Raw genomic sequence first — 13,003 nt, forward strand, 5'->3', positions numbered from 1 at the left:
TCCACCGTGACTGTGAGGCCTCCCCAGCCATGTGGAACTGTAACACCAATAAACCTCTTTCTTTTGTAAATTCCCCAGTCTGAGGTATGTCTTTATCAGCAGCATGAAAACAGACTAATACAGGGCCCAAAAAACCCTCCAACTCAGGTCAGACAAAACTAAATAAACCAATTCTAGGGACACAAAGACAAGCCACAGGAAAGTCCTTAAATGTTTACTTTAAATCAATTTTATTAAGGTATACATAAACTATTAATACATCCACTCAGAGCATATGTATAAGGTTTTAGAAAACTGACCCAATGCAAATTATGTCCAAATAATGCCATCGTGATATGATCTTTTAAATTCTTCAGTACTTGGGATGGACGCACTTGGCCTATGCACCTCCTCTCTCTATAGGCTTCGTCTTAAAGACTTGTAACAGAAAGACAGAGATGATCCAAAATGTTGTGACATGGTTAGGCTTTGTGTCCCCAACCAAATCTCATCATGAATTGTAATCCCTATGTGTAGAGAGAGGGAAGTGATTGGATTATGGGGGAAGTGTCTTTCATGCTGTTTTCATGATAGTAAGTGAGTTCTCATGAGATCTGATGGTTTTATAAATGTCTGGCATTTCCCCTGCTTGTACTCTTTCTCCTGCCACTGGTGAGGAGGTGCCTGCTTCCCTTTCTGCCATGATTGTAAGTTTCCTGAGGCCTTCCCAGCCATGCAGAACTGTGAGTCAATTAAACCTCTTTCCTTTATAAATTACCTGGTCTCAGAGAAGCTCTTTACAGCAGTGTGAGAACACACTAAGACATGTTGTTAGAAAAATAGGCAATTTTCTACTTAATAATTCCTAAAAGTCTTCTTTATATAATATGTGATACCTAAATCTTTATCTAATATTTAAAATACTTCTTTAAAATGTTAATAATTCCTAAAATGTTTCTTTTTTAAAAAAAATGCCTAAAATGCTTCTTTGTCCCTCCCTGGGAAAATAATGTTTGTGAATTGACAAAACAAAATTGGAGCTCAGACCCAATTCAAGTCATACCTCAATCTTGAGGTCAGAGACACTCCCTCGATCCCAATTTAGAGGATCAAGAAATCTCAGGGGAATGTATTTCTCCAGATCTTCATGTATGCAGTAAAGGAGGGATCTTGATTGGGTCTTGGTAGGATCTTTTGGTTTGTCAACTGTTGACTCCTTAGAAGTTCACTGGAAATACCTGTTTATGAAAAAGAAAGAATACCACCATGACAAATCTTAGTAGTGTCTCAGAAGGTGAACTTCAAGGTAAGATATCAAATAGACTTTTAGGGCCTGGGCTAGGACTTTTTAAGTCAGATCTTGCAAGAAACAGTACTGGTTGGGATTGAAGAGAGTTTATTAGAGAATAGATTTAGACAAATGGGCTCAGAGAAGCCAGAGTCTTGAAGCTATTCATTATAAACAAGCTATTAGTCTTTATAAGTAACCTGTTTAGTTGGTTCAGTCTTATCTTTAAGAAACAAGTAGTTTCTGGAGCAAGTAGCTGAGTTAAATTTGCTTTGCTCTCAGTATTGTTTCAAATAGGTACAGAAAATTATATTGCTTTCAGTTTTCTTTCCCCTTTCCTCTCCATCCCCCCCACGGAACTTGTCTCAGGTTTTCAGAGTCGGACTGCTAGATTAGTACAATAAAAGTGTTGTGAAACTAGGGCTGTTGCAAGGACTTAGACCTCAAAGCCACTCTATTTGAGCTGCCAATAATAGGCCTTGTCCTACTGATTTCCAATTAAATTAGCTTTTAAAAACATGTTTATTGATTGACATACATACATAATTATAATGGACTATTTTCCATAAGTGATTATTTTAATGGACATTTGTGTTTTATGAACACATTAGCTACCTGACCAAATAGCAAGCAAGTTATCTTGAATTAATGCTGTAGGTTTCTTCCAACTACTAAGTAGGCAGGCTGGGATCCATTACTGTAGGCTGTCAGGGGAGAAAAGATGAATTGAGTTGATGGTGATGACATAATGAATGTGGCTTCAATGACACAGTGGCAAATGTTAAACTCACTCACTGTATGATGAAACCACATCATTAGAAACAATAGCAAGGGAGAAGGTAAATCAAGAAAGGAGACAAATCACTCACAATGCATGAGAATATCTGGAAGCTCCTCAATGCAGCATCCAGAACTTCACCATGGTTGAGGCACTAAGGAAATAAGTTTCTAAAAACAGTGGCTTTAAGGAGAAAAGAAATAATGACCACCAATTGAAACTAGGACACCCTAGGGTCATATCCAAAGAAGTGGAAAATGTAGGGTATGTTAGTAAACAGGGAATTTCAGCCATTACGTTTGTTTTATCTAGAGCTAGAGACTACTATTATTGTCACCTATAGTTATTTGAGCTCACTGGTGCCAGGTAGGTGGAAACCAGAGAGACAAAGGTCACATTCACAGAAAAAAATTGGACTGTTATAAGTCTTAGGGCATGTCAAGCACATTATGATCACAATGCATTAAGAACAGGCTTATCTGACCCATGAACAAGCACCATGGCAAAATCTGAGAGCTGATTTAAGCAACACTTGAGCTGTGGGAGTAAACCAAAATGTATAAAGACAGTATCATTTCCATGAACTCATTAAAAATGACTTCATTTGAATTTTAATTTTGGAATTGAATCTTAAAAAAATTACATCTCAATTTATAAAATCACAAAGGTAATGGCACTATAAACTTCTACTTGCTTTTCACGTGTTTCAGTACTTTCTAATAGAAATCACCAGCCCTAGAAATTTCAGGAACTGTGAAGGCTGCTAGGGAGCAGGTAGTTTTATCAGTTTCAGTAAAGTTGCACTTGTGCAAATGTTGGGTAAACAGTTTGGGCCAATTTTACTTGGATAAAAGATACAATGTGCCCTCCAGGTGATTCCTTTCTCTGGGACTGGGAGAGCATCTGCTAATGATACCAAGTCTTGAATATCTCTCTTCTAAGGCACAAAATCTGTAGTGACCCTCTATTGAAATTTTTTTGGACTTTATTTCTTATGAAGGAAATTAGTGGCAGTTCCTCACAGCTTTTTGGGGGAGAATAACATTTCAGTATCATTCTTGAACCTGTTAGTTTATTCCCTGGGGCCTCAGTGAATTCTAGGAAAAACACTAGCCTGCAGTCATTCAGCCTGGGGCTGTAAAATTGTCAGATCTCATAAGCTCGACACAGTGCTTGGGTCTGGCCAGGACTTGGATAGGAGAACTCAAAAGAAAGAAAAAAAAACTTTGTGGAACACACATCTGTTGTGCACCAGATGGCAGTTATTTCATCTTCTGTGGAACTTTTTTCTATAATTCTTGTTACATTTCTTCTACTGCAGTACTTACAGGTTTTAAGAAGAAAAAAGCAAAATATTTTGGGAAAAATGAGGTGACTGTAACATTAAAATCAAGGCTTTAATTGTTCCCAAACTCAGGATTTGCAGAGTTAAGTTTCCCACAGCAATCCTCCAACTGTGCAGCGTGTATTACAATAGGAGTCCTCATTACATAATCACCAAACCCTGGGTAATGTTACATAGTGTTCAGCAGATAAAGGGCACAAAATAATGGAAAAGAACTGCACTTTTTCTCTAATCGTAGATGTACAGAGCATATTATGTTACTGCATAAATATTACATGATCATGTAACAAAATATACTAATGAAATATACAGATGCAAAGCAAGGGTGCAAGGGTTGAAGGTGCATTGGGAACACTTAAATTGATTTTCTTATTCTTTGCTAATTCAAATTCAAACTTAATTTAGCATTTGTGTTGTTTTATGAGAATATAAAATGTCATGGGAGGCCTGATAGTTTTTAATAAGTTTATCGAATGGTACTTAGAGTCATCTTCTGCAACAGTAATATAGACCTACAACACTATTGCTGTCTTTCATGTATCAAACTTCTGTTCCTGACTATGTCTTAAGCATTAGGTTTTGACCTAGAAGCTAATTTTTGCCCAATGGCTTCTACTGCTTTGCAAGTACAGCACATTTTATATTAAAGACTCAGATGTTGCCTATTGGGTTTAGTGGGTTTCTGCCTATATTAGTCCATTCTCATGCCGCTAATAAAGACATACCCGAGACTGGGTAATTTATAAAGGAAAGAGGTTTAATTGACTCACAGTTCAGCATGGCTGGGGAGGCCTCAGGAAACTTAACACTCATGGTGGAAGGGGAAGCAAACACATCCTTCTTCACACAGTGGCAGCAAGAAGTGCTGAGCAAAAGGGGGAAAAGTTTCTTATAAAACCATCAGATCTTGTAAGAACACTCACTATCATGAGAACAGCATGGAAGAAACTGCCCCCATGATTCAATTACCCCCGACCAGGTCCCTCCCATGCCACAGTGGTGATTATGGGAGCTACAATACAAGATTAGATTTGAGTGGGGACATAGCCCAACCATATCACTGCCTACGTTTGCCCTGTCAGTTGCTTAATATCTGTGCAAATTTGTCAGCCTATTTAGATGCCCTCTGCCAATTGATTAAAAATACTTACATAGTACCTACTGTATAAAGAACTCTTCTAGATTCTGATGTAACATAAATAAATTGTTACGGTCTTCTTTTTAAAAAATAAGAACTTCAGTTACTGATGACAGTGTTAATTATATTCACTTTGAATCAGAATGCATTGTGTGCCTTAAACAGCATGGACAGTGCTGGCGTACTACACAGCTCATTACATTTTTTATTTCATTTTACCAAAGTTCTATTTCATGCAAACATCTCCAGTTATTCCTACCATTGGTATATGATCTTCATAGCCATAATTAAGTTTGTGATGTTTTGTGTGAGGTTATTTCTCAACATTGTTATTGGCATACCACTAGTATCAATACTTTGGCAAGTTAAACAACTGTGATAAGATCACAGAATATCAGAACTTGGAAGCAAAGTTAGAGTATCAAACTCCTTTGAAAGATGAGTAAACTGAGACTCAGATGTTAAGAAGCTGACCAAGATCACAAATGTGTTAGTGGCAGATAAACTAGAATCTCTTCTTTCTCTCTATTGTGATGTATCTTCTGGGTATATACACACACAACCACTGCAGATTGGGTAGTGGTTGTGCTATAGTTTGAATATTTGTTCCCCAAAACATCATGTTGAAATTTGATCCTGATATTGGAGGTGGGGGGTAATGGGAGGTGTTTTTGTCATGGGGGCAGAACCCTCAGGAATGGCTTGGTGTCATCCTCATGCTAATGAGTGAGTTCTCACTCTATTGCTTCCCATGAGGGCTGGTTGTTAAAAAGGGAGCCTGGCAACTCCCTAGCTCTCTCTCTTGCTTCTTCTCTTTCCATATGATTTCTGCACATATCAACTGTCCTTTGCTTTCTGCCATGTGTGGAAGCAGCCTGAAGCTTTCACCAAATGCCCAGTCTTTCGGCCAGCAGAATTGTAAGCCAAATAAACCTTTTTTCTTTATTAATTATCCAGCCTCAGTTATTCCTTTATAGCAACACTAAACAGACTAAGACAGGTTGGTTATATGATCTCAGAATAAATTTGCTTTCAGTGACATTTAGTTCTTAAGAAGATAATTATCTTTTAAGTAAGACATACAACAAAGGGCTCAAGTGAGCATCAATAGATGAAAATGTAGTAGACAAAAAAGTCTAGTAGAAGAAACAAAAATAAAAGATAGAAAAACATTTCTAAATAAACATGTTTATCACTATATCAAGTGAAGATTTCATTTATGACTTAATACTATAATCTGACCTTTACAATTTTCTGTTGTTTATTTGTTTTAAAAATATGCTTTGGATTTATTTTCAATACTTAAAAAATATTATCAAGGTCCGTAGTGGAATTACAACTTGTTACAGATAATTGTTGCTCTTTAATTCTACATCCTATGGGATTAATTTTGTAATTCAATTCTCAAATAGCATACACTTAGTAATAGCTATTTTTCTAATAATTTCAGTATCATAGGAATATGTGCTTTATTAAGAAGGATCTAAATATACAACTTTAAAATACCCCAAAACTTTTTAAAATAAGATAAATTCCCTCTAAATATTGTGACTGAAAACTTCATTGAAGTGTCCTTAGGTTGCTGATAACACAAAGACTGCTCACTACCAACTGTGAGCTTTTGCTTAAAAATTTCCACACGTGGATTTGCATCTTTCTAGGTTGCAAAAAAATACTATTTCTCCCATAAGGAAACAGTGAAATAGAGGGAGTAAATGTATGTAAAGAGAAACACCAATTGAACCAAAATGTACTGCATTAGTTTTCAATGTCAATTACTAGACATCTGAGAAAAAGTATCAATATTTGTAATATTTAACAAATCTATAGTAATATGTAGACGGTAATAAAGCAGTGTTATACTTTAAAAGATATTTACAAAGGTCCATGTTAATATATTATCGTGGAGAACTGGAAAGAGTGAAAATAGTAAAAAAAAAGCTGTGTTAAATACTCTCATATTGATTCTCTACTCATTATTAAATAGTTCTGCTTTTAATAATCTGTTTACATCGTGTCACTTAAAACAAACATAAATCTCCAATCCTGCTGAGAAAGTTTTGTTCAGCAATCTACTTTAACAAGAAGGACACTTTGGATTGGGCCAAGTGAACAGGACTTTTGTTGTTTAAATCAGAGAAATGTTTATTTTTATCATTTTATTTTCTGCCACATAAAGTATAATGGGACATACCATAAATGTTGATAGTTTTGCCTCTAATTTTTAGTTGTTAACACATTTACACTGATTTTAAAATTTGATTCCAACCATAGTTTATTTTTGCAGCCATTATGACTATGTCTACAAAATTAGGTTCAAGTTTTTACCAAATTTTGCTGGTTTATGCTTTAAATTAAAATCCATCTTTACTAAATTTTGTTCAGGTCTCGTGTATATTGTTGGGGACTTCTTTGAAAGAACCACCTACATGGCATTTCCAAATAATTTATTCACTAAGGATCTGTTACTTTTTTTTTTTTTTATTTTAGATGGAGTCTTTCTCTGTCACCCAGGCTGGAGTGCAGTGGCTTGATCTTGGCTCACTGCAAGCTCTGCCTCCCGGGTTCACACCATTCTCCTGCCTCAGCCTCCCAAGTAGCTGGGACTACAGGCACCCGCCACCACGCCAGGCTAATTTTTTCTATTTTTAGTAGAGACGGGGTTTCACCGTGTTAGCCAGGATGGTCTCGATCTCCTGACCTCGTGATCCGCCCGCCTTGGCCTCCCAAAGTGCTGGGATTACAGGCTTGAGCCCCCACACCTGGCCAGGATCTGTTACCTTTTATACATTTCCCAGGAAAATCCATAGTAGAACAAGAATAGGCTTATTTATTCGACTAACTTCAGACTATAAATAATACTTTCTATGAATTAATCTATCATTTTAAATAGGTTTCCATAGGATGTTTCTAGAGTAATGTTCCTACAGTAGGTGTATTAATAACTAAACTTATTTGGTCTTTTATTTCATGTATACATTGTTCCTCTTACCTAAATTATGTAAGTTTAGCTACAAACCAGCAATTTGATAGAATCCCGTGATTCTTTGAATTCATGTTTGTTTCTCATGTTGATATCATTTACGTACTTAGCTTTGTTAATCTTCAAAGTCATTCACTGCTCAATGAGAACAAGCATTTTCAAACTCTACTGGAATATTTCATGGTAAGCATGTCTCCTCTTTCCTCATTTATTTACATAAAGATCAAGATAAATCAGGATATGATTATAGGTGGTGTGATTCATCAGCTGCCAATCAAAAGCTGACATAAAACCTTTGGCAGAAAGATTGAAAAAACTATTTGGAAAACAACATGATCCTAAAGAAGTGTTCTGAAGAGTGGTGATGTCACTGGTCTGTAAACTCTAATGAACTTCTTATTCAAATATCTATTCCTCTTGGTTAGATACATTCACCTTATTTTTCTTGTCCAGTGGCTTAATCAACTCTATGCTGTTTAAGTGTGATGATTTGTCTTTTGTAAACCTATGAACTAGAATGACTCACATATTTTTTCATTTTCACTTATGAAACTAAGAATTAAATCAATATTCATCTCATAAACACTTGCCAGCTATCTATTATGTGCTTCATGCATTGGTAAGAATTACTATTACTGTAAGTATTATAATTCTTTCATATCTTCCTTAAGATATACAGTTATCTCAGAACTTCACACTTAATATAGTATTTTTCTAATCACTGAATTGATTCAAAATTGAATAAAATCTTTTCCTATAGATTAACAATATATAATATATAGAAAAATGTAAAATATTTATCAGAATAACAGAAAAGCTATTATTTATCAAAGTATAGTTTTTCCCTGTAATATTTTCATTTTGAATATTTTTTTCCCTGAAAAGGTAAAACCTCACAATCTTGATTTCTAACCTGACTGTAGTACAATGATAGGTGACTGTCCCATTCTTTACTGCTCACCTTTCATTTGTTAACTTGTAGTCTCAAAGTTTTCTCTTGATACCTGTTCTTTTGCCAGGATCCAGTGGTTTGGGAGTTTGGACTATAGCAAGATTCACAGATTTGAGCACAACTCTAAATGAGGGCAAACAGGAACGCTACTCCCAAAAACAAAAAAGTCCACTTAAACAAGCTAACTAACCAACTAACTAACTAATTAACCAATATAGGCATTTTAGTAACCTTTCCAAAAAGCAGCAGAACTAAGTATCTATTTTCCTAGTAGAGTATATTTGTCTTCTAGATCAGGGTGCCCATCTTTGTCCCAACAATTCTGTAATGCTATAACAGAATACCACAGACTGGGTAATTTTTAAAGCAAAGAAATTGACTCCTCACCGTTCTAGGGGCTGGGAAATCCAAGACGAAAGTGCTGGGATCTGGTAAAGGCCTCCTTGCTGTGTCATCCAGTGGCAGGAGAGCTCAAGAAAACAAGACCAAGATCAAATGAGGAAAGCGACCAAATTCATCCTTTTATCAGAAACCTAGTATCAAGATCCCTAACCTACTCCCACAATAGCATTAATCAATTCATAAGGCAGAGCCCTCATGACCTAGTCACCTCTTAATGGTCCCATCTCTCAGCAGTGTTGCATCGGGGATTAAGCTTCGAAAGCATGAACTTTGTGGGGACTCATTCAAATCATAACAGTACCATAACCTAATTTACCTGGAAATGACATGTACTGGAGAAAAGCAGACATTCGTTGGCCTTGGATGGTTTGAGTCAGTAAATTATTAAATAACCTTTTTTTTTTGTTTCTGAAACTTTAATGAAGATCTAAATAAAAATGAAAATTATTGCAGCCAAAAGAAGAAATAAAATGATTGAAAAATAGTTCTGTCTAATGAGCTTGACCCTTATGAGTGCTCAGATCAACTCTTCCCCTCTCCCACACTTATGCAGGGAGCTCTCAGATCAGGCTGCCCCCTCTTTCTCTCAGGTGCTCCCCTGGAAACCTGGAGACTTCTAAGGAAGTTAGACCTGTTAGAACAGGGGTGTCCAATCTTTTGGCTTTCCTGGGCCACATTGGAAGAAGAATTGTCTTAGGCCACACATAAAATACGCTAACACTAACGATAGATGATGAGCTAAAAAAAATTGCAAACAAATATCATGTTTTAAGAAAGTTTATGAATTTGTGTTGGGCCACATTCAAAGCCATCCTGGGATGCATGTGGCTATGCGTTGGACAAGCTTGTGTTAGAAGATCAAGTGAGGGAAAATCAACTGAGACATCTCTTCTTCAAGATTCTAGAAACTTTTAAGTTTTGCCACTAATTTAAACACTTGGTAAAGGCAACACTGTATATTTTTCTTCCCGGTGCCTAGTAGATTATGTGTATTTAGATATTTACTAATCCAAATTATATTGAAAAAATGTTTTTTATGTTGAAAGGAGACACTAGTAAATTTTTTTCCTAAAACACTAGGTACATAGCTAACTATTTCTTCCTGAACATAGATTTTTGATGTAAAGAATGAGAAAATAATGATTTTCATGTTTCTGTTTTTCACATATGCTAAAAGAACTGACTACTCATGAAGTTATAATGGAAGAGTATGTGGAGATACACCTTGTGTGTTTCACTTACTGCTGTAACTGAAACAATGAAAAAAATTTTCCCATAATGGATATTAATCTATTCTAAGCCAAAAGGCAACACATTCCCAAAATGTTTCTGTCTAAAATATTTTTATTTTAGGTTTGCCACAAGAATTACCATTTCCTTTCACTTGACATAAAATAAAGCCACTATCAAGAGTATTACTTTACTTAATATTTTTACAACGACATTTGGACATTGTCTTAACATAATCAGTGTTAAAGCAGCCAGGAGAAGAGCTGTTTAGAAGACTCTTCCAGTTCAGTTTCTATATTGAAATATGAAGTGTTAATTTTGAGGTATGAAAGCAGGGTCCCAGAGCCTTTGAAGATCTGTTATGGAAATGGTCTAGAGAAGGGTTCAACAATTTGTGGTCCTCAGGCTAGCTGCTCGTATTTTGTAAGTACATTTTTATCAGAAAACAGTCATGTTCATTTGTTTACTTACTAGGTATGGCTGTTTTCCAGCTACAAAGGCAGAGTTGAGCAGTTGTGACAGAGGTCATTGGGTCTGGAAGCTTCAATGATTTACTATTTACTGTTAAGGTAAATTTTAAGAAAAGCTTCCCTAGCCCCTAGTTTAGAGAAGGACTGTCCCATAAATAGATATGATAGGGAGGCCGAGGCGGGTGGATCACAAGGTCAGGAGATAGAGACCATCCTGGCTAACATGGTGAAACCCTGTCTCCACTAAAAAATACAAAAAATTAGCCTGGCGTCGTGGCAGTCGCCTGTAGTCCCAGCTACTCAGGAGGTTGAGGCAGGACATGAACCCGGGAGGCGGAGCTTGCAGTGAGCCGAAATCGTGCTACTGCACTCCAGCCTGGGCCACAGAGCAAGACTCCATCTCAAAAAAAAAAAAAAAGATATGATGATGGAAATATTTTGTATCTATGCTGATATGGTACCCACTAGCCACATGTGAATATTAAGTACTTGAAATATGACTACTATGAATGAGGAATTAAATTTTCATCTTGTCTCATTGTAATTAATTAACATTAAAATTTAAATAGCCACATGTGGCTATTGGCTACTGTATTAGCACAGACATGGAACAACTTCATTGAAGTCCACTGAGCAGTGCTTCCCTAGATCCACAGTCAGGAAACTGTTTCTTAAAGGGCCACATAACAAATAGCGTGACTTAGAGCATTTGAAATGTGGCTAATGAAAATGAGACACTGAAGTTTTAATTTTTTTTTACTGTAATAAATCAAAATTTAAAAGCCACATGTGGCTAGTGGCTGCTGTAGCCGAGCGAGTGGGCTAGAGCAGGGATTCCCATGGTGTGGTACACAGATCAGTGGCATCAACATTAACTGGGAACTTGCAAGAAATGAAAACCCTTGATTCTCACAGCATATCTACTGAATTAGAATCTCTGGGGATGGGGCTCAGGAATCTTATCTAACAAGTACTCAAGGGCAGTGTCTCTCCAAATTTAGCATGCATCACAATTACCTGGCAGGCATTTTAAAACCCAGATTTCTAAGATGTCCCCAAGGAATGCAAAAATACTACTGGTCCATGGACCATACTTTGAGTAGCAGGGGTCTAGGACAGCAGTCTGCAAGGTCAGGTGTGTTTTAGAAAATCCATTGAGTTACAGGAAAACATATTAAACTTTCTATTTCTATTTACTCTCTCACCTAAAATAAGTAAATTTAGCTTTGTTATCAAGTGTTATATTCTCAGTTAGTCCCTATGTCAAATGGTGATTATGCTGATGGGTTGACTGTAGCCTCATTGGCTTTTTACTTTTAATTCTATTTTTTAAATTATCATACAGTAAATTTGATTTTTTCTCTTTTGGTTTACAGTTTCATAAATTATAACACATGTATACATGTGTTTCATAAAACCACCACCATATTAGGATACAGAACAGTTCCATCACTATAAAAAACTCCTTTTTGCTATTTCTTCATAGTCTCCTCTCCCTCCACTCATAATCTCTGGCAACCACTTGATAGATTTATCTTTTCAAGGAAGCAATACAAATGGAATTATAAAATATGTGACCTTTGGAGACTGGCTTCTTTCAGTCAGCATAATTCTTTTGCAATTCACTCATGTTGTTGTATGTACCAATAGTATGTTCCTATTCGTTGCTGAATAGTATTTCATTGTGTGACTATACTATAGTTTATCTATCTGTTGACCTATTGAAGTCCATAGGCAATTATACATAGAGCCGTTTAAATATGCATAAACATAGTTTTAATTTGTCTAGGCCGTTCAGTGTATGCTTAACTTTATAAAAACTATCAAAGTGTTTTCCAGAGTGATTGTACCATTTTGCATTTCCACTGACAATACATGAGCATTCTAGTTGCTTCACATCCATGTCAGCATTTGGCATTGTCAATATTTTTAGCTTTAGTCATTCTAATAAGTAAGTGTACTATATTGTGGTTTTATTTGCATTTTCTTAATGCCTAATGACATTAAATATCTTTTCATGTGCTTATTTGCCATTTCTATGTCTTTTCTTGTGAAATATATGTTCTTCTCTTGGGAAAAGAGTCATATTAATTTGATTAATTCATTATCCCGTTTAGGTAATGCACAAAACAGTTAAATGTGTTTATAAGAGTCCCGTAAAGGAAATTCTGGTTGAGAAAATACTAAGAAGGCAGGTACAAGGAAACAATAAAATGGCACACCTCAGACTTTGTCCCTAATAGAAGCTCTTTATCATCCAAACTCAGAAAATTGCTTTCAGTGGTAAGTGACCTGGCATATATATTTGTAAACATGTCATTTTTAATAAGGAGTGAAAAAGAAATGACTTTTGAAATATATTAATGCTATGGAGAAAGGTTTTTATAAATGATTGTTAAGAAAAATTGGGGTGATTTTGTTGCTAAAAACAATACAAA

The 13,003-nt window shown here is 35.9% G+C and overlaps 1 annotated feature.

Annotated features, from left to right (window-relative positions):
- Positions 1,246-1,365: an enhancer, noted in NCBI's record as "active region_25173". NCBI's record gives its function as "activates an Ori minimal core promoter by ATAC-STARR-seq in GM12878 lymphoblastoid cells {active_cell/tissue: GM12878}" and the evidence as "EXISTENCE:reporter gene assay evidence [ECO:0000049][PMID:35858748]".

The sequence above is a fragment of the Homo sapiens genome, chromosome 6, assembly GCF_000001405.40.
Source record: "Homo sapiens chromosome 6, GRCh38.p14 Primary Assembly".
Taxonomy (NCBI): Eukaryota; Metazoa; Chordata; class Mammalia; order Primates; family Hominidae; genus Homo; species Homo sapiens.